Source organism: Homo sapiens, chromosome 7, assembly GCF_000001405.40.
Source record: "Homo sapiens chromosome 7, GRCh38.p14 Primary Assembly".
In the NCBI taxonomy this organism is placed as follows: Eukaryota; Metazoa; Chordata; class Mammalia; order Primates; family Hominidae; genus Homo; species Homo sapiens.
The window spans coordinates 102,852,193-102,874,629 of record NC_000007.14 but is presented as its reverse complement, the minus strand read 5'-3'; the positions used below and the strand labels follow the sequence as shown (position 1 = coordinate 102,874,629).

The 22,437-nt window shown below is 38.8% G+C and overlaps 1 protein-coding gene and 1 pseudogene across 21 annotated transcripts in view; one reads left to right on the top strand and one right to left on the bottom strand.

The window, feature by feature from the left end:
• The window catches only part of FBXL13 (F-box and leucine rich repeat protein 13), a 263,608-nt gene that overhangs the window by 200,167 nt on the left and 41,004 nt on the right, over positions 1-22,437 (top strand). For 17 of the 21 annotated variants that reach the window (NR_105043.2, XM_017011850.3, XM_005250207.5 and 14 more), the window contains one exon: positions 19,770-19,853. The exons of 2 other annotated variants lie outside the window; for them this stretch is intronic. Coding sequence is in view for 17 of the 19 variants with exons in the window: in XM_017011850.3 (XP_016867339.1) it covers positions 19,770-19,853 (84 nt within the window). In the remaining 2 variants the exon portion in view is untranslated. 2 more of the 21 variants (XR_927410.4, XM_011515932.4) reach the window with 2 other exon arrangements.
• Positions 16,947-17,178, bottom strand: RN7SKP198 (RN7SK pseudogene 198; annotated as a pseudogene).

Sequence of the window (22,437 nt, the reverse complement as noted above, 5' to 3'; positions counted from 1 at the left end):
TTGTACCACTGTACTCCAGCCTGGGAAACCTGGGCAACAGAGTAAGATCCTGTCTCAAGAAAACAAAAAACAAAAAACTTAGGAGTATGGCCTCGAGTTCTAGTCTCTGTTTTTATTTTCTTCTGAAGCATATATGTAATTTAAGAGAATTGTAAATGGATATCTATGGGGAAGTATACTAATTGTTTTCTGCTAAAAGATTGAAAAAAATAAGTCTTCTGTTGTTTTCTTCCTCCAAGTCAGTTAAACTCTGAACTAAAAGGCAAATGATTGACAATTACAGTGCTACAACAGCTGAGGAAGCTAACCTCAAACAGTGAAGTTAAAATGAGTCAGCCCGGATGTCAACTTGGGCAGCTAAACACCAGCCTGATTGATTATAGGTCTGAGTAAGTGCAAATTTGACTACAGACGTAACATTCAGGATTTAAACTCTGGAATGTTACAGATACCCACCAAAGATCAAATGTGACCAGTTGTGCCATTTGGGAGAAAATTTCCCATGTTTTCTAATAATTATGTTCATTCTCAATTCTTAATGGTGAATTTTCAGTTAGAATCACACTACACATTTAGTTAACAAGTATTTACTCTGACTACATTGTGCTCAGTGCTGAGAATACTGGAATGAACAAAACAGACATGATTCCTCTTCCTAGTACTTACATTCTAGTGGGAAGACAGGAGTAGGGCAAGTGGTTACAAAGTATGATGAGTGTGAAAAACAGAGAGGGGAAAGCTAACCTAGCTCAGAGATTCTTTTCCCAGAGAAGAAAGGTGTTCTGTGAGCCAAAGAAGCAGCCTGCACAAAGGCATGGAGGTTTAAAAGTGTGAGATATCAAGAAACCTACACATTTGGGTATGGCTTATTGGCGAGAAGTATGGTGAGAGATGATGTTTGAGAGGTAGACAGGGGTCAGGTCACTGAGGGCCCAGAGGCCACATTAAGGAATTTGAACTCTGCTCTTTGGACCGTGGAAGGACATTCAGTATTGTCAGTTAGAACAGTAACATGGTCAGATTTATATTCCGAAAAGCTCACTTCTATCTGCTAGACAGATATGGGAATCACAGATGCATAGTGACCAATTATCAAGTAGTCATCCAGGTGAAAAGTTATGAACGCCTGTGTTAGGGAGAGGGCAGTAAGCATGTAGCAAAGTCAGCACAGTTGGGAGACACTGAGGAAGAAGAAACAATGAGATAGAGCTCAACTGAATGTGAGGATAAGGAAGAGAGGGAGTGAATCAAGGATGGCACCAGATTTTTGGCTTGAGCATCTGCATAAAGGATGGTGTGCCTTCCTGAGCTGTGTCCCTTACACAGTCAGGGAGCAGGTTTGCTGCAGGTTGGGAAAACGAACATGTTTAGTTTGATTCACTTGCAAGACAGCTTTATAGAGATGTTGCTCAGGAAACTAATTGAAATTCACACCTCAAAAGTAGAAGAGCTCTTTGGGGTTGGAGAGGCTAAAGGGACACTGTGTTCTGAAAAATCATGAAAACTCATGAAGAAGTTGATCAGCAAAGGCAAAAATCCAGACATTTAGAAATCCAGAAAGATGTTTATTGGAGAGAGCTAACTTAAATGGGGGAAGCAAAGAGGAGAACACAGTTATTTCAAGATTTGTGTTTCTTATAATAATCTTACTCTCCTCAGTTATTCCTTTTGTGGAAAATAGTGAATCATTTATTGTATCATCCATGAATAAAAGTTGTTTAGGAAGTTACCTACCAAGTACATATTAGGGAAAGAGGAAATATGTCAATTTGCCTCTTCTAATATAAACAGGATAGGGTTTCTAAGTGGGAGAAATAGCTTACTAATGTGATAATATCTTAAGGTATCTTTAGAAATCTTTAATCTTCTACAGCTTTTCAAAATGTTCACTTAAATGGGCTATTATTCATTCCCTTCCTGCTCCAGAGGATTATTTGAATGTGAGGTTATATCTCCATGTATGTGGGAAAATATTTCCTGCTAGTTAATTGGATTATCATTTGCTAAAGACCACAGGATCCATGGTGAGGGCAGTTCAGTCTGTTACTTAAGTTGCCTTAGTCACCGCCATATTTGTTGTTTAAAGGAAAAGTGAGTCACGGCAGTGTCCCAGACAGTGTGCTTAGACAGTGGTTTAAAAAGACTCTTTCATTTGCTTGATTTTCAGAATTTTTTATTATGAGTACAAGATCTTGAGCGCCTGTTATGTAGGTCCTGGAGTCCCCTCACTAGAATATCAGATCCATGAAGACTGAAACGTTGTTTTCCCAGAACCCTGGGAAGTAGTAGGCACTAGATTAATTGCTCATTGAATGAAGGAAAAAAATGCTAGGCTCTAGGATTAACAAATGTGAGTAAGACCTATTTTCTGCAGCCCAATTTGGAAGGGTGGGTGTGGGGAATTTAGATGTGATGGGGCAGGCATAGTGATAGAGGTGAGGAGAGGAAAGGATCTCTTAATTCAGCCTGCCCAACACAGAAGCATGTGAATGTATCCTTGTTCAAGGAACTTGATGTAGCTTAGTCCTGCTAGAATACACTATATAAAAAAGATATCATGGAGGGAATGTCATACTGTGTCAAGGAGATTGGACTTGAACCAATGGGTGATGTGTAGGGGAGTCATAGTCATAGTCAGCCTTCCATTTTAGGTAGATTATTTGAGTTGTTCTCTGGGGGACAGACTGAAAAGGAGAAGGACTGGGGGCAGGGAGGGAAATAGGAGGTATTTTAGTAGTTAAAGGAAGAGATGAGGAGTTCTTGAACTAGGTCAGAGGCTAGAACAAGCATGGAAAGGACATATTAAAGAATGTTTAGTAGCTAAAACCGAAAGAACTTGGTGATTGATTATTGTGGAAAATGGGGACCTCGGTGGAGGGATGGGAGGATAAGAATTGACTTAAAAGTTCTGGCTTTGGAATAAAAAAATTAAAAATTGGCCAGGTGTGGTGGCTTACGCCTGTAATCCTAGCATTTTGGGAGGCTGAGGTGGGCAGATCACTTGAGCTCAGGAGTTCAAGAGCAGCTTGGCCAACGTGACACAACCCCATCTCTACAAAAATACAGAAAAAAAAAATTTAGCCAGGCATGGTGGCATGCGCATGTAGTCCCAGCTACCTGGGGGGCTGAGGTGGGAGGATCACTTGAGCCCGGGAGGTCAAGCCTGCAGTGAGCCGAGATTGTACCACTGCACTCCAGCCTGGGTGACAAAGTGAGACCCTGTCTTAAAAAAAAAAAATTAAAATTTTTTTTTTAAAATCTGGCTTTGGGAGGATGGAGGTCCCACCTCTAAAAAGATAGGTAATATAGGAGAAATAACAGGTTTTGAGAGAAAGATGGTTTTCGTTTTATCAGATTGAGTTAGAATCTGTGGGATATTCAGGCCAAAGGATTGGGAGAGAAATGATTACCGGACCTGCAGATGGGGGAGTCATTCTCATGGAGGTGTGAATGTGGCCAAGATCCTCAAGGAGGGCATAGGGGCATGAGGAGAAATGTACTCCCAGGAAGAACATAGCAGAACATCAGTGTTTAAGGAGTGGAAAGAAGAAGATGAATCCATGAAGGAGACTAAAGAAAGAAGGTCAAAAAGATTGTAAGAGAACCAGGTGATGTAGTCAAGTGTGGAGTGTAATGGGAATAACAACAGTGTCTAATAAAACTGAGAAATTAAATCACAGAAAGATGAGAATTAAAGAAAGAAAAATTTTTTTAGAGAAAGGGTCTCACTCTGTCCCCCAAGCTAGAATGCAGTGGCACCATCAAAACTTACTGCAGCCTCGACCTCCTGGGCTGAAGCAATACTCCTGCTTCAGCCTCCTGAGTAGCTGGGACTATAGGCAAGTGCCACTACACCCAGCTATGACCAAAATTTGAAAGAACATTTACTGTTAATTAAAGAAACCCCTGTCTACCACTCCAGGACCACCTCATGCCCCTGCTCTGCTCATTTCCTTTCCCTCAGCCACACTGCTTTCACTTAGCTCTGCAAACAAGCCAAATCCCTTCCTACCTCAGGACCTTTCTGTATGTTACACCTCCTGCCTGGGTCTGCGACTCCTTCCGTTCTTCATGTGCCTGGGTAGGGGCAGATGCTGAGCAAGTAATCACTGATGATAATGACAAAAAAGCATCTTGACATAAGTTAATAGTGCCAATTTTTATATTTATGACATTATTTTTTCTATTATAAATATTGATCATGTTGTCCATAATTATCAGAAAATCACACTTCTCAATCTAGATCATTTCAAGGCAATATCAATGGGTTTGTATTATGGATTCATTCTTTCTTTAAGAAAACATAAATCATATGGTGATGGTTAATGTCTCTAGATTTTTAAAAAATAAGTGTTGTTGAGTTCCTAATGTGCTGTATATTATCTCTGCCACATTACAGCATAGTTCCCTAGAGCAGTGTTACCTATTACTATTATCACAGTAATAATGGGTCTTAAATTACTGATAGCATACAGATTATTTTCAAATTGAATTGCAAAAAGAAGAACTCTAATTGAATATTGGCATGCCGTTTCCATGTTAGTTTTAATTGTATGTGTTATAAGGCTATCTAGTTTCAGGTATTTCTAGCCAAAAAATCTACTACTAAATACTATACTAGAATAGAAAGAAGCCAATGTGAGAACTTTAATAGTCATTGATAGAGTCTAATCATCTCTTATAACTGCCCATCTGCCTCCTCTCCATCCCCACTGCCCCTGGCTTAGTTCAAGCACTGTTTCTCGTACTCACCTTTGCTGCAGTGTTCTGAGTCTGTCTATAAAAAACAGACACACAGACCAGTGGAACAGAATAGAGAAACCAGAAATAAGCCCACACATTTATAGCGAGCTGATTTTTGAAAAAGGCACCAAGAACACACATTGGGGAAAGAACATTCTCTTCAATAAATGGTGCTGGGAAACCTGGATAGCTACATGCAGAAGAATGGAACTAGATTCCTATCTCTCACCATATACAAAAATCAACTCAAAATGGATTAAGGACTTAAATGTAAGAGCCAGAAATATGAAACTATTTGAATAAAGAATAGACGAAACACTTTAGGACATTGGTTTGGGCAAAGATTTTTTTGGATGGTACCTCGAAAACACAGGCAACAAAAGAAAAAAAATGCACGAATGGTATTACATCAACCTAAAAAGCTTCTGTACAGCAAAGGAAACAGCAGAGTGAAGAGACCACCTATGGAATGGGAGAAAATATTTACAAACTATGCTTACGTGACAAGGGTTCAATATCCAGAGTATACAAGGAACTCAAACAACTCAATAGCAGAAAAACAAATAATCAGATGGGCAAAAGACCTGAATAGATATTTCTCAAAAGAAGACATACATGTATACGGCCAACAAGTACATGAAGAAATACTCAACATCATTAACACCAGGGAACTGCAAATCAAAACTGCAATGAGCTATTGCCTCACGCCAGTTAGAATGGCTATTATCAAAAAGCAAAAAGTAACAAATGCAGGCGAGGATGTGCAGAAAGGGGAACTCTTATAGACTGTTGATGGAAATTACAATTAGTACAGCCATTATGGAAAACATTAGCGAGGTTCCTCAAAAAATTAATAATAGAACTATCATATGTTCTGGCAATCCCACTACTTGGTATATATCCAAAGGAAATGAAATCAAGCCAGGCACAGAGGTTCATGCCTGCAATCCCAGCACTTTGGGAGGCCAAGGCAGGCGGATCACTTGAGGCCAGGAGTTCAAGGCCAGCCTGGCCAACATGGCGAAACCTCGTCTCTACTAAAAATACAAAAATTAGCTGGACATGGTGGTGCACACCTGTGATCCCAGCTACTTGGGAGGCTGAAGCATGAGAACTGCCTGAACCCAGGAGGCAGAGGTTGCAGTGAGCCCAGATAGTGCCACTGCACTCCAACCTGAGTGACAGAGTGAGACTATCTCAAAAACAAAACAAAACAAAACAAAACAAAAAAACCACAAAGGAAATGAAATCAGTATGTCAAAGAGATATCTGTACTCCCGTGTGCACTGCAGCCAATATATACAATCAACCTAAGTGTCCATCAATGGATGAATGGATTTAAAAATGTGATATATATATATGCACAATAGAATACTATTCAGCCCAAAAAAGAGTGAAATCTTTTCATTTGTGACAACATGGATGAACCTAAAGGACATTGTGTTAAGTCAAATAATCCAAGCACAGAAAGACAAATATCTCATGATCTCACTCATATGCGGAATCTGAAAAAAGGGGATCTCATAGAAGTAGAGAGGAGAATAATGGCTACCAGAGGCTGGGGAGGGAGTGGTGAGGGGAGATGAGGAGAGGTTGGTCAATAGGTACAAAGTTACAGTGAGATAGGAGGAATAAGTTCTAGTGTTCTATTGCACAGCAGGGTGACTATAGTTAACAATAATGTATTATTGTATATTTCAAAGTAGCTAGAAGAAAGGATTCTAAATGTGCTCACCACAAAGAAATGATCAATGAGGTGATAGATATGCTAATTACTCTGATTTGATCATTACACAATGTCTACATGTGTTGAAACATCACACTGTATCCCATAAATAAGCACAATTACTTTGTGTCAGTAAAAAACAAAACTTAAAAAATATCTGGCCGGGCACGGTGGCTCACGCCTGTAATCCCAGCACTTTGGGAGGCCGAGGTGGGCAGATCATGAGATCAGGAGATCGAGACCATCCTGGCTAACACGGTGAAACCCCGTCTCTACCAAAAATACAAAAAAAATTAGCCAGGCATGGTGGCAGGCACCTGTAGTCCCAGCTACAGGAGGCTGAGGCAGGAGAATGGCATGAACCCGGGAGGCGGAGCTTGCAGTGAGCCAAGATTGCGCCACTGCACTCCAGCCTGGGCGACACAGCAAGACTCTGTCTCAAAAAAAAAAAAAAAAAAAAAAAAATATATATATATATATATATATATATATGTCTAAGTCTATCACTCCCTGGCTCAGAGTTCCTTGGGGACTCCACACTGCTTACAGTATCAATGGGCTGGTGGACCAAGCTCTTCCTGAGGCGGCCCTTGGCCACCCCTGCAGCCCTGCTTCCAGCTGACTCCCGCCTCTCATCCTCAGCTCCAGACACACAGAACTGACTCTCCTACAGCTCCTCAAACATGCTGTGTTCTTGTTTCCCCATCTCTACAAGTTATTCCCTCTGTCTGAAACACCTTCTCCACTACTTGTCCACCTAGTAAATTCTTCTTTTTTTTTGTTTGTTTGTTTGGGTTTTTTTGGATACAGAGTCTTTCTGTGTCACTTAGTCCAGAGTGCAGTGGCATCATCATAGCTCACTGCAGCCTCAACTTTCTGGGCTCAAGTGATCCTCCTGCCTCAGCCTCCCAAGTAGCTGGGACTACAGGCACATACCATCATGACTGGCTGATTTTTCAAATTTTCTTTTGTAGAGATGGGGTCTTGCTATGTTCCCTGGGCTGGGCTGAAACTCCTGGGCTCAAGTGATCCTCTTGCCTTGGCCTTCCAAAGTGTTGAGATGTTAGGCGTCAGCTGTCATGCCTGGCCTTGCTTATCTCTTAAGTTTCAGCTGTGGGGAAGCTTTCCTAGAATTTCTGGGCAGGCTTAGGATCTCCTTCTTTGTATTTCCACTGCACTTTGTATATGTCTCTACTGAAGCAATCAGCTTGTTATATTCTAGTGTCTGTTCCATGCCTGTCTCCCTATAGCACTGTAAGCTTCCCAAGAGCAGAGACAGGACCATCCCATCTTTGGGATGCCTAGCAAGATGTTCATAGGAGGCACATAAAATGTTTGATCAGTGAGTGAATGAATGAATCTGGCACCATTTCCTTCCTCTTAACCAAACACTTAAGTCTTCTTTAAATTCCACATTGTCTCAGCTATGCTCTGGGCTGGAGTGGAAGCACTTACAGCTGCGTGTCTTAATCTGATGATACAATTGCAAGAGACCACCCATCTGCATGGAACACACACAAAAATAAAGCCTGAGTCCAGTGAAGCAAAACCTCTAAAGCAGGAAACACATGAAATCACTTGGGATTCAAGAAATAGGAAGAATGAGAGTTGAAAGGAAGCACGGTAGTTCAGAGACAAATGGATTTGCCGTGGATTTTCAAAAAGCACATAACAAGAAGTCTGCCCAGTTATGGGCTTTTGGTTTTTTTTCATATGGAGCTGGACCTCTCCTAGTCCTCCTCAGGCCCTTCTCTCCAGCCAGTGGCCTTACATGACTATGTTGGTCCCATCAAGCTAGTGATAGTGGTTCCTTCTCACAGAGGTTATGGTCCATTGTCTCCTGTTTCTAGCAAAGTGCCTACTAAAAACACTGCAAACAGAAGCGACCAACTTGAGCCTGTCACTTCCCTCAAGATGGATCTTTGGCAGCATGACTCTCCTCTCTACCTCCATCAAGTAGGAGGCAAACAGTCTCAAGGCAAGTTGGTCTACTTTCAGGTAACAGAGATGCCAATTTTCCTTCCTTCTATAAGCATCACAATACAGAATCTATGTCTGTGTGGTGATCAAAGCTTGCTTTCCTTTAGACTTGTAGGTCAATAAATTAGGTCAGAGAGGTTGATACATTTTAAAAAGAAATATGATTACAAAATTCATACTAACAATTGATTAAGTAGAAATAAACAAAAATAATTGAGAAGACTAGTAGTTCCAGCTACCGAGGAAGCTGATGCTGGAGGATCCCTTGAGCCCAGCAGTTTGAGATCAGCCTGGGTGATACAGCGAGACACTGTCTCTTAAAAAGTAAAATAAAATAGGCTGGGCACAGTGGCACACCCCTGTAATCCCAGCACTTTGGGAGGCCAAGGCAGGCGGATCACGAGGTCAAGAGATCGAGACCATCCTGCCCAACATGGTGAAACCCCGTCTCTACTAAAAAAAAAAACAAAAATTAGCCAGGTATGGTGGCGCGTGCCTGTAGTCCCAGCTACTTGGGAGGCTGATGCAGGAGGATTGCTTGAATCTGGGAGGGAGAGGTTGCAGTGAACTGAGATCACGCCATTGCACTCCAGCCTGGTGACAGAGCAAGACTCCGTCTCAAACAAAAACAAAAACAAACAATCAAACAAAAAAAACACAAAAATAAGTAAATAAAATATTGAGAAGAAAAGGTACATTATATTTATAAAAGCATAATTACTAACTAGAGTAGAAAAGGGAAGATCGCTTGGGAGATGAAGAGAAATTTTCGAGAACATTGTACATGACAGTATTATCAGTGAATTTAGAAAGAGGATGTGCTAATTGAGATAATAAATATTTCCAAGTATAACTTTTGTTCTTTATTTCTGAAAGAATGCAGTATGCAATACCAAACAGAGCAAATCTTTCAGAAAGAAGCATGTGAAATGTAAACCCTGATTCAAAGAATTCCAAACGGAAATGCATTTCATCCAAAAATTCTGAGAGTATGCCAGCAAGATAAGAGAAAATTGAGTCCGTATAAATAGATAATTTTATAGGTAGACTGATTCACTCAACAAATATTTACTCATTGTCAACTATATATCATACACATTGTTAAGTTCTGGGAGTACCAAACTGAAAGAGTACTGGTCTCAAGGTACAGTCTAATGGCAAAATAACAACAAGAAAAGCAACATCACTGTATAGTTAAAAGTTACTAAAAGCATGAATTCAGAGTATGGGTTCATATCTCAGCTGGTGCCATGGCACTTTGAGACCGCAGGCAAGTTACTCAATTTCTCTGTGCCTCCATTTCCTTCTCTTTAAAATGGTGATTATAATATTACCTACCTCACAGTGTTGTTATAAGGATTAAGTAAGGCAATGCATGTAAGCTGGCACATGGCAAGCACTATATGCATCTTAGTGATTATTTATTTGAATTCTGACATAAGATTTGTTTGCTGAAAAGGAGATGGAGGCATTGCACCACAACAGCACAGATGAGTTAGAAAATGAACACTTGGCTGGGTGCGGTGGCTCACACCTGTAATCCCAGCACTTTGGGAGGTCAAGGAGGGTGGATTACCTGAGGTCAGGAGTTCGAGACCAGCCTAGCCAGCATGGTGAAAGCCCATCTCTACTAAAAATACAAAAATTAGCTGGGCATGGTGGCGGGCGCCTGTAATCACAGCTATTTGGGAGGCTGAGGCAGGAAAATCGCTTGAACCCAGGAGGCAGAGGTTGCAGTGAGCCGAAATTGCACCATTGCACTCCAGCCTGGGCGACAAGAGGAAGACTCCATCTTAAAAAAAAAAATGAACACTTGTCTCTGTTGTCTCTGTGGAGGAGTCAAGGGAAGCTTTTTAGCTTTTGGGATGCAGCTGAAAGCTGGAGGAAGAAGCAGATGATAAGGCCTGGAGGCATAAGGAGGGTTATGTGTTGGGATTCACAGATAACTCAGTGCTGTCAGAGCATGGCCAGAGAAGAGAGGGGATGTGGAGGGAGATGAGGCTGGAGAAAGAGATGGAGGGCAGAATGTGGGTGGCCTTGAGTGCCCTGCACAGCAATTCAGGCTACATGCAGTATGCAGTAGGAGCCATTGAAGAACTCTGAGTAGGAGAGCAGGACAGATTTGTGCACAAGAAACATAACTCTGGTGGCAGTGTGGATGATCTATTGAAGAAAGGATGAGCAATTGCAATGATAGCTAGAAATAATGAGGTTTTGATAGTGGCGGCAGAGGGGGCAGATTTGAGAGATATTTAGGGGGTGGCATTGGTAGGGCTTATTCATTGGCTGAATATGGGGAACAGGGAGGCAGAGAGGAGACATAGACGATGCTCAGGTTTTTTATTTGGTCAGTTGTGAACATGGTGGTGCCACAAACCAGGAAAAGAACCTAGGAGAGCAATTAGGGCTTGGAGACAAGATACTGAATTCCATTTTGGACATGTTTAATACTAGTACTAGCACATCTCTCTAAACTATGGGCCCCTTTGATTCTGGGTGACAGAGAAGACAAACATCCATCTGACTTTTGGAATCTTTGTTTTTGTTTTGTTTTACTTTGCTTTGTTTTCCTCAGGATATCTGGAATCATAGGAATTCAGTGTGTTCAAATTCAAGCATTTCTGAAAGAAAACTCACACAAGGATTTTCAGTACCATCCCCCCCCCCAATTTTATCCCCTCTATCACAGCAAAAACTTATACTCTGTTTTATCCTTAAAAACAAATTAAAAAGGCATGAAAGAAGCCTTCTTATGTTTACTGACTGTCGGGGGACTTTTTAGATTTCCCATGATCTATACCCCCAGTAACTACATCCTGGAGTCCTGGGTGCCCCATTCCATCTTATTTCATAGAGTGCATTTTCCAATATCCTGAATTCAAATATCAAATACCCTAGGTTATATAGATTTCCCATATAGAGAAATTGGAGCCCTATAAAGAGGGTCATAAAGGTACAAAATGCAGAGGAAGGAGCCATTGTATTTAAATCAAAGGAAAGTCCATCATGAGCATTCATCTTTCACAGACTCCTGACTGAAGCTAGCAAAAAGAATAGGAAGAGCTCAATGAAATCTCATGGCTTCCAGTTTGAATTCTAGTTCTCTGAAAGTAACAGTGCTGAGTTAGAGGTGCCTATGACACATTCAGATGTCTAGTTATCAGTTAGAGAACAAGATCTGTATCTCAGGAGGGAGATCTGGGCTAGATCTAGAGATGGCTGAAGTGGTCAAAGCCATGGATGAGAGTCACAAAGAGAAGAGAAGGTCAAGTTCCAAGCTCCAGGGAACATCAGTATGTATTGAATAGATTTGGAAGATGAACCTACAAAGGAAACTGAAAACGAACATCCAGAGAAGTAGGTGGAGACAGAGGTCAGAGTAATATCATGAGAAACAAGGAAGATGCTATTTCAAAAAGCAGGGGATGGTCAGCAGAGTCAGGCTTCAAAGCTGGGTCAAGTAATATGAAGATAGAGCAGTATCCATCAATTTTTGTAAAGTAAAACTGTTCATCTATGTATATAATACTTGTACATGTTAACATTCATAGCTGAGTACTTTGCTTGAATATTAGCACATTTGTGCTGATGGTTTGTTTAGAATAGAAAGTAAACTAACCAGAACTGTGTTGCTTTGTATAAAGAAATAAAGCCTAGTGTAAATATTTTATATAATTCTTTGTTGATACACAAAAATATTCAATAACAGACACATATTGGGTTTTTCCTCCAAATTATGCTATTTTCACAAACACTAGTAATACAAAAAGAAATATGAATAATGAAAAAACATATTCATATCATTGCGCACCCTCCAAAACGTCCATTTCTTTTCTTTTTTTTTTTTTTTTTGAGACAGATTCTCCCTCTGTCGCCCAGACTGGAGTACAGTAGTGCAATCTCAGCTCACTGCAACCTCCGCCTCCTGGGTTCAAGCAATTCTTCTGCCTCAGCCTACCGAGTAGCGGGGACTACACGCCTGGCTAATTTTTGTATTCTTAGTAGAGACGGGGTTTCACCACATTGACCAGGCTGGTCTCGAACTCCTGACCTCATGATCCACCCGCCTTGGCCTCCAAAAGTGCTGGGATTACAGGCGTGAGCCACTGCGCCCTGCCCAAAACGTCTGTTTCTTTTAATACACATATACATACACTATACACACACATATGCAGATGTGAATTTTTTTTTTTTTTTTGGAGACACAGTCTCACTCTGTCATCCAGGCTGGAGTGCAGTGGCACGATCTTGGCTCACTACAGCTTCTGCCTCCTGGGTTAAAGCGATTCTCCTGCCTCATCCTCCCGAGTAGCCGGGATTACAAGCACCTGCCACCATGCCCGGATAATTTTTGTATTTTTAGTAGAGATGGGGTTTTGCCATGCTGGCCAGGCTGGTCGTGAACTCCTGACCTCAGGTGATCCACCTGCCTTGGCCTCCCAAAGTGCTGGGATTACAGGCATGAGCCACCGCGCCCGGCCTGCAGATATAATTTTGTGTACTGCTTTTTGAACCTAAGTATGTTACTATATATTCTTTATAACAAACACTTCTCATGTTTGCAGAATATTCTGGGTGTACTATAACATCTCAACAAATTACTTTTTAAATAAAAAGGGGTAAATATACCTCTTCTAATAAAGAGATCTATGGTAGTCATCTTCTGAACCAAGTGGCCCAACAGCATCACCAGTTGTGGAACAACTGGACATATGTGCCTCCCAATGGGATGCTATAATAATTCAGGAGTATTTTTGCAAAAAAAGTTTACCTTGAATCTAATCATAAGGAACAATTAGAAAAATCCAGAATGTGAGACATTCTGCATAATAACTGGCCTAGACCCTTAAAAAAAGTCAATGTCTTAAAAGAAAAATTTAAAGAAAAAAAGACTAAAAAGACATGATAACCAAATCCAATGCACAAATTGGGTCTTGGATACAAAAAAATTTGAATGTTGACTTTGTACTAGATATTACAGTATTACTGTTCATTTTCTTGGGTGTCATAATACTATATATGTCTATACTATATATGCATAATACTACATAGTTACATAGGAAAATGTCGTTATTCCTAAGGAGATGCACATGAAATATTTAGGGATAAAGCATCATGATATCTGAAACTTATTTTCAAGTAGTTCAGGGAAATTTATGTATATTTGTGTGTATATATATATGTGTGTGTATATATATATAACTATATATAAACTATGCATATGTATATAAAATTTTATTCATACATATATATGAATAAAATATGTATGTTCATATACACACTCAACTAAATAAATGTGGCAAATGTTTATAATTGGTGAATTTATATGAAGTGTATGTCAGTATTCTTTATAACCATTCTTTAAACCTTTCCGTACATTTGAATATTTTCAAAATAGAGAGTTGGGGAAGCATGTTTTCTGTTTATGTTGGTGATAGTCTAAGCCAGATGTAGTATGACTCAGCCGTATAGTAAGTACACACCACACACACACACACACAGAGCATTCCAACATTTGGTAACTAGTTCATTGACATTGTCTATGTACATCAGCTAAACAATTCCAGATGAAAAAGTGTGGGGAAAGTGTAGTGTTCAAGGATTTGTCTGCTCTCAAATGTCTGTGTGCATGTGTCTGTTCCTGGCAGTGTTCCATCTTCCCTCCCACTACTCCCAGTGACCCCAAACTGAACTACTTCCCAACAACTCACACTTTGCACATGAAGTCTCTGTCCATGCTATTTCTTCGGCCTGAAACACTGTTCCCATTGTTTCACTTGTCAAAATGATACTTAATCTTTAAGGCTTGATTCAAAATCTCCTTCCTCTGTGAAACTCTTTTCTAGACTGCCATCTCTTTCTTCCAACTGGAAGCATTCATTCCCTGCTGTGTGGTCCCTATAGCTCTCTTGAAACACATACTTCATTCTTTCTGTAGAGAATGAGTTGGTACATAAGGAACCTCATTATAGTGACTTATGTACCCACTCATATTCCCCAGAGAGAGAAAGTTCTATTTAATTCTGTTGCATAGGATGAAGTCCAGATTCCTTAGAATAATGTACGAGGTTCTTGTGACTTGGTGCTTGCTTCCTTTTGAGCCTTATGTCCTGATATGCCCCTCAATGAACGTGATACTGGAGCTATAACGAAGCCACTTTTCCACTCAGGACTCCTGGGCCCCTAAGATTCAGGCCCCTTAATTCCATTAGCAATGGAGGAGCAAAGTGCTCCCCAGGATTCCTGTGAATTTCTGGTGCCTCACATTCTCATGCAACTTGCAATGCTGGTGACTTCCCCAGGCCACCACTCCAGCTGCTTTCCTCTGCACTTCAGCTGACCATAAAATGTAGTCCCTTTTTATGCTTTGGGAAAATAAAAGCAAAACCTCTCTCCAGCAAAAGCATTCATGAGTTTGGCTGACTTATGAGGGAGACCAAGGATGATTTCCATTGCAGTGATGCCACAGCTTTCCTGAAAGGTAAGCATCAATCTGCCCTTTGCCCCACTGAGACCGAGTCACTCTATCTTGCTGTTACCTCTTGCCTCCTCATTTTTGGCCTGTCTTCCCACTCCACTCTTCCCACTCCACTCTTCCTGTCCCTCCCAGGGCTAAAACCTTGGCATCAGAAATCTGTAAAATGTAAATGTCACTTGTTTCAGAGAACACCTCCTAATTTGGAGCATTTATGAACCTCACAGTGCCAAACAGAATATTTACCTTGCTGGCTCTGACATTCTTTAGGTCACTAATCTAAAAAGTTTCTGAGAAAAAAAAAACCCACATTAAAAGTGAATCCTGTTGCCTGAAATAGTGTGTTTCACTTATTAGGCAGTGAAATTCACTGGCCTCCTGTAACCAGCATGAGGCAATTTTTAGTGGAGGCCTCATCTCTGCCGGCTCGATTTGTTGCTGCTCAGTTACAAAGATGTGTTTACTTACAGCAGAAAGGGCTTCTAGTTACTTGTCTAACACATGAGCAGGGTGACATCTCTTGCTCCCCGTTTTGCTACTATTTTTGTCATCAGGGTCTGAAGTTGCTAACAAAAATATATTAAAAGTGGGTAACATCTGTATTCATCTTGGACTTAAGGATGCTGTAGGAATATTTTCTGAGTTTTATGTACTTATACAATTATTACATCAATCTTTTTTTAAACATTTTTTATTGAGACATAATTCATGTACCATAAAACTCACCAATTTAAAGTATACAATTCAGTGGTTTTTAGTATGTTTGTTTGTGGTGGAACTACCACTAGAATCTAATTCCAGAACATTTTCTTCACTCCCAAAAGAAAAGCCCTTCCCATTAGCAGTCACTCCTTATGCCTGTCCCACCCTGAGCCTGCTTTAGGCAACTGCTAATCTACTTTCTGTTTTTATATATTTGCCTATTCTGGACTCTTCATACAAATGGAATCAAACAATATGTGGCCTTTTGGGTCTGTCTTCTTTTACTTAGGATGATATTTTCAAGTTTCGTTCATATAGTAGCATGCATCAGTACTACTTTTATTACCAAATAATATTCCATTGTATGGACCTAACATTTTATTTATCCTTTCATCAACTGATAGGCATTTGGGTTTCCACTTTTTTCTTTTATTTTTAGTTGACACATAATAATTGTACATATTTGTGGAATGCAGAGTGTTATTTCCTTATGTGTAATGATCTAATCATGGTAGTTAGTATCCATCACCTCAAATATTTATCATTTTCTTTGTGTTGTGAGCACTAAAGATCCTCTCTTCTAGTTTCTTGAAAATATACAATAAATTATGGTTAACCATATTCACCCCACAGTGCTGCAGAATACCTGAACTCATTCCTCCTATTAAACTATAATTTTGTAATTGTTAACCAACCAATCCCCATCCTCCCTCCCTGCCACTCTTCCCATCCTCTAATTCCCACAATTGTACTCTACTTTTTCGTAGCTCCCATGAGTGAGGACATGTGGTATTTATCTTTCTGTGCTTATCTTATTTTGCTTAACATCATGTCCTCCAGGCTCATCCATGTTGCTGCAAATGACAGGATTTCATTCTTTTTTGTGGCTGAATAGTATGCCATTGTGTATATATACTACATTTTCTTTATTCAATTGTCTGTTGATGAACATTTGGGTTGATTCTATATCTTAGCTATTGTGAGTAGTGCTGTAGTAAACATGGGAGTGTAGGTATCCCTTTGATATACTGAGTTCCTTTCCTTTGGGTAAATACCCACTAGTGAGATTGCTGGATCATATGATAGTTCTGTTTTTAGAGAAATTTCTATGCTGTTTTCCATAATCGCTGTATTAATTTATATTTTCACCAACAGTGTATAGGAGTTCTCTTTTCTCTGCATCCTCACCAGCATTGTTATTTTTTGTCTTTTTGATAATAGCCATTCTAACTGGGGTGAGATGACATCTCATTGTGGCTTTGATGTACGTTTCCCTGATGATGATTTTTCATATATTTGTTGACTATTTGTATGTCTTCCTGAGAGGTTTGGAGGTTCAAGCAGGGGAGTGCAGCTACTTGTATCCTAGACCAATAACCCATCCTCCTCTATCAGGGTTGGCTATCCTCTTTGACCCAGCACGCAGCTTTGGGGAGGGACACACATGGAACGGTGAGGGAAGAAGGGGACACCTGCCTAGCCAGCCAGATCAGCCGAATCAACCCTGGTGATCAATGGGGTGACAGATATCACAGCCACATCGCCCTCACATATGTCTTCTTTTGAGAAATGTCTGCTTGGTTCCTTTGTTCACTTTTTAATCAGATCATTTGTTTATTTGCTATTGAGTTGTTTGAGTTCCTTGTATATTCTGGATGTTAGTCCTTTGTTGTATGACTAGTTCACACATGTCTTCTCCCATTCTATAGGTTGTCTCTTCACTTTGTTTATTGTTTCCTTTGTTGTGTATAATCTTTTTAGTTTGATATCATCCCATTTGTCTGTTTTTGTTGCCTGTGGTTTTGAAGTCTTAGCTATATAAAATCTTTGCCAAGATCAATGCCCTGAAGCATTCCCCCTGTTTTCTTCTAATAGCTCTATCGTTTCAGGTCTTATGTTTAATTCTTTAGTCTATTTTGAGTTTACTTTTGTATATGGAGATACAGGAGTCTAGTTTCATTCTTCTAGATACAGATATCAAGTTCTCCCAGCACCACTTATTGAAGAGCACCATTTGTTGAAGAATGCATGGATTTTATTATAAATAGTGCTGGTATAAACATTCATGTACAAGTCTTTGTAAACATATGTTTTCACTGTTTTTGGGTATAAACCTAGGAGTAGAATTGCTGGGTCATATTATAACTCTATGTTTAATTTTTGAGGAAATGCAGACTGTTTTCCAAAGTGGCTGGCTCATTTTACATTTCCACTAGCAGTATATGAGAGTTCCAGTTTGTCCACATCCTCACCAATGCATTTTATTATCTGTATTTTAAATTATAGCCATCCTAGTAGGTACGTTGTGGTATGTCATTATGCATTTATCTAATGGCTAATAATGTTGATCAATTCAATTTTTAGGCCATATGTTTTAATGAACAATTACAGTGATGAGACATGACATTCTGTTTTAATATTTTAATTTTTAATGATTTTGAATAAAGTAGTAAGCATATATGTTGTTATATGTCATATTTAGCAAATGCACTTCATTTACAGCTTATCTTAAAAAATTCTAACTTGACTACATAAAAGTGAAATCTAAGTGAAAACTTCAGAGATAGTTTCATAGGACAAATTTTCTATAGCATACTAAAACATACTTAGCTATTATCAAGTATAGGGTAAAGAGACAAACTTTGCATCTGTTACTTGATATTTGTGTTCAAACAATTTGGATTCTATTGGGGAATATCTAAACTCTTCCAATTCTTTTAACATGAATAAAATAGCATCCACATCTGGAACCCAGACCACATGTGATGGCTCCACAGGATTTGGTCAGACTTTGTTTTGAAACAGGGAGGCAGAAAACATAATGTGTTCCTAGCAAAAGAATCCACAGTCAACAATCAAATTGAAAGAATGAGGTTGCATAGAAGAAAAAGATATTCCTGAAGAAACTGAAGAAACAAATAAAAACTTATGGCACAGGAATAAATTCAGCATAAAATAAATGCAAATAAAAGTTTTTAAAAAGTTAAAAGAATTCACAGATTTTATTTTGGAGTGGTATGCAATACCATTAAAAGAAATTAGAAATCATAGTTTAAGCAGAGGCTTAAATAAAACATTTTTATTAATACAGGCTTTTTTTTTTTTATGAGAAGGCCCAATCTGTGCATTGGGAATTAAAGCAAAGCAAAACAAAACAAACAAACAAAAAAAACAAGATATAATATTTGCATAGCCCATTTTAAATTGTGGTCCAAATGTTGTATTTAAGATCGATAAAATATAAACCAATCCTGCAAATAAAATATAAAAAGGACAAATCTATGTGTCATTTCTGGTATTTTCCCTGCCAGCCAGCCCTGGAATCATAGAATGGCGGCAGGTGAGGGGTGGGTTGGGGGGTGGTGGGGGGAACAACCCTGCTCTTGTCCACCTAGTTTAAGAAGTACATTGTATGGGATTACATAAAAGTAATGTGATCCTGATTGAAAAACAGAAGGATGGCATCAATAAGCCACATTAGTCAGTTCCTTATCTGAGTGTTGTGCCAGTAAATTTGGGGAAAAAGTACTGAGAAATGGGACAACACAAGCACACATAAAAAAAATTATGGCTGAAAGTGCAATCTCTTTTTTTAAATTAAAAAAATCCAAGGCCTTTAACCTGAAAAAGAAATGATCTATGACTGAATGATTATCTGTCTCTAGGCCTTTATATAAAGATCTATTCTCTTCCTCTTCAAGGGATTAATCATTATAAAATGAGCTAAAGATTTTTAGATGTTTTGGTTAGGCATAAATAAAAATATATTAACAAATAGGTTCTTTATCCACATGAAGTATCTTCAAAATAAATTAGTAAGTTGGATTTGTTTATATTGATTCAGATAACATTTATCTGGAAACAAGTGGCAAGATAATAACCTCCTAAGGAGTTTTCTGACTCTGGGATTCCATAAAAGCTTTTGTAAAACATTAGAGACAACCTGAAAATTTTACTTAATGGCATTGCCTAATCTAAGTGGTCTTACGATTTGTTAAGTGTAAAGAAATATGACAGCAACTAAAATTTATTAGTTTTCATAAATGGTTTTTTATGTTGTCAGTTTGTATAAATGGTTATTGGAACTATATATTCCATACTAAATGATAATCACAAAATGATCTTTATATTAAATATTTTTAGGGTTTGAATGTGCTTTCCAGACATAAAAAATTGAAGGAACTTTCTGTATCTGAATGTTATAGAATCACTGATGATGGAATTCAGGTAAGATCATTAAGATCATCTGTTAAAGAATTAAGATTGAAATTTTTCTTTTTTTCTTTTTTTTCCAATGAATAAAAAGGACTATTTTTATTGAAATAACAGAATTGCAAAATATAAATCACTTTTGCCTTTAGTTCTTAAGTAACTACAAAATAAAAATTTACAAGTACAAATAAAGCTTAAAAACAACAAAATTAATGATATTGTTATAACATGTAAAGTATTAAAATGTAGCTAAATATTTACTATTTTTTAATTATACTTTAAGTTTTAGGGTACATGTGGACAATGTGCAGGTTAGTTACATATGTATACATGTGACATGCTGGTGCGCTGCACCCACTAACTCGTCATCTAGCATTAGGTATATCTCCCAATGCTATCCCTCCCCTCTCCCCCCACCCCACAACAGTCCCCAGAATGTGATGTTCCCCTTCCTGTGTCCATGTGTTCTCATTGTTCAATTCCCACCTATGAGTGAGAATATGCGGTGTTTGGTTTTTTGTTTTTGTGATAGTTTACTGAGAATGATGATTTCCAATTTCATCCATGTCACCACAAAGGACATGAACTCATCATTTTTTATGGCTGCATAGTATTCCATGGTGTATATGTGCCACATTTTCTTAATCCAGTCTATCATTGTTGGACATTTGGGTTGGTTCTAAGTCTTTGCTATTGTGAATAGCGCCACAATAAACATACATGTGCATGTGTCTTTATAGCGGCATGATTTATAGTCCTTTGGGTATATACCCAGTAATGGGATGGCTGGGTCAAATGGTATTTCTAGTTCTAGATCCCTAAGGAATCGCTGCACTGGCTTCCACAATGGTTGAACTAGTTTACAGTCCCACCGACAGTGTAAAAGTGTTCCTATTTCTCCACATCCTCTCCAGCACCTGTTGTTTCCTGACTTTTTAATGATCGCCATTCTAACTGGTGTGAGATGATATCTCATTGTGGTTTTGATTTGCATTTCTCTGATGGCCAGTGATGATGAGCATTTTTTCATGTGTTTTTTGGCTGCAGAAATGTCTTCTTTTGAGAAGTGTCTGTTCATGTCCTTTGCCCACTTTTTGATGGGGTTGTTTGTTTTTTTCTTGTAAATTTGTTTGAGTTCATTGTAGATTCTGGATATTAGCCCTTTGTCAGATGAGTAGGTTGCAAAAATTTTCTCCCATTTTGTGGGTTGCCTCTTCACTCTGATGGTAGTTTCTTTTGCTGTGCAGAAGCTCTTTAGTTTAATTAGATCCCATTCATCAATTTTGGCTTTTGTTGCCATTGCTTTTGGTGTTTTAGACATGAAGTCCTTGCCCATGCCTATGTCCTGAATGGTAATGCCTAGGTTTTCTTCTAGGGTTTTTATGGTTTTAGGTCTAACGTTTAAGTCTTTAATCCATCTTGAATTGATTTTTGAAAACTGATTAATTCACTTTATTTCTTATTTCCATAGGTTTTTGGGGAATGGGTGGTGTTTGGTTACATGAGTATGTTTTTTAGTGGTAATTTGTGAGATTTTGGTGCACCCATCACCTAAGCAGTGTACACTGTACTGTACTCAATTTGTAGTCTTTTATTCCTCACTCACTTCCCACCCTTTCCCCCAAGTCCCCAAAATCCATTGCATCGTTCATATACCTTTGCATTCTCATAGCTTAGCTCCCAATTATGAGTGAGAACATACAATGTTTGGTTTTCCATTACTGAGTTACTCCACTTAGAATAATGGTCTCCAATTCCACCCAGGTTACTGCAAATGCCATTGTTTCATTTTTATGGCTGAATAGTATTCCATACCACAATTTCTTTATCTACTCATTGATTGATGGACATTTGGGTTAGTTCCCCGATTTTGCAATTGCGAATTGTGCTTCCATAAGCATGTCTGTGCAAGTATCTTTTTCGTACAATGACTTCTTTTCCTCCGGGTAGATACCCAGCAGTGGGATTGCTGGATCAAATGATAGTTCTACTTTTAGCTCTTTAAGGAGTGTCCACACTGTTTTTCATAGTGGCTGTACTAGTTTACATTCCCACCAGTAGTGCAGAAGTGTTCCCTTTTCACTGCATCCCTGCCAACATCTATTATTTTTTGACTTTTTGATTATGGCCAGTCTTGCAGGAGTAAGATGGTTTTGCATTGTGGTTTTGGTTTACATTTCCCTGATCATTTGTGATGTTGAGCATTTTTTTTCATATGTTTGTTAGACATTTGTATAGCTTCTTTTGAGAATTGTCTGTTCATGTCCTTAGCCCACTTTTTGATGGGACTGTTTGTTTTTTTCTTGCTAATTTGTTTGAGTTCGTTGTAGATTTTGGATCTTAGTCCTTTGTCAGATGTATAGATTGTGAAGATTTTCTCCCACTCTGTGCATTGTCTGTTTACTCTGCTGATTGTTTCTTTTGCTGTGCTGAAACTTTTTAGTTTAATTAAGTACAAATTGAATAAATTTTGTGGGTCACAGTAGAAAAAACAGAAATGGATTGGAAATGTAACAACACATATGTGATCTTAGTTGAACCAAGTTCACCTCCAGGCTCTTAGTTAGGTCTCCACAGCCAAAGTGATTGAGATTTATTT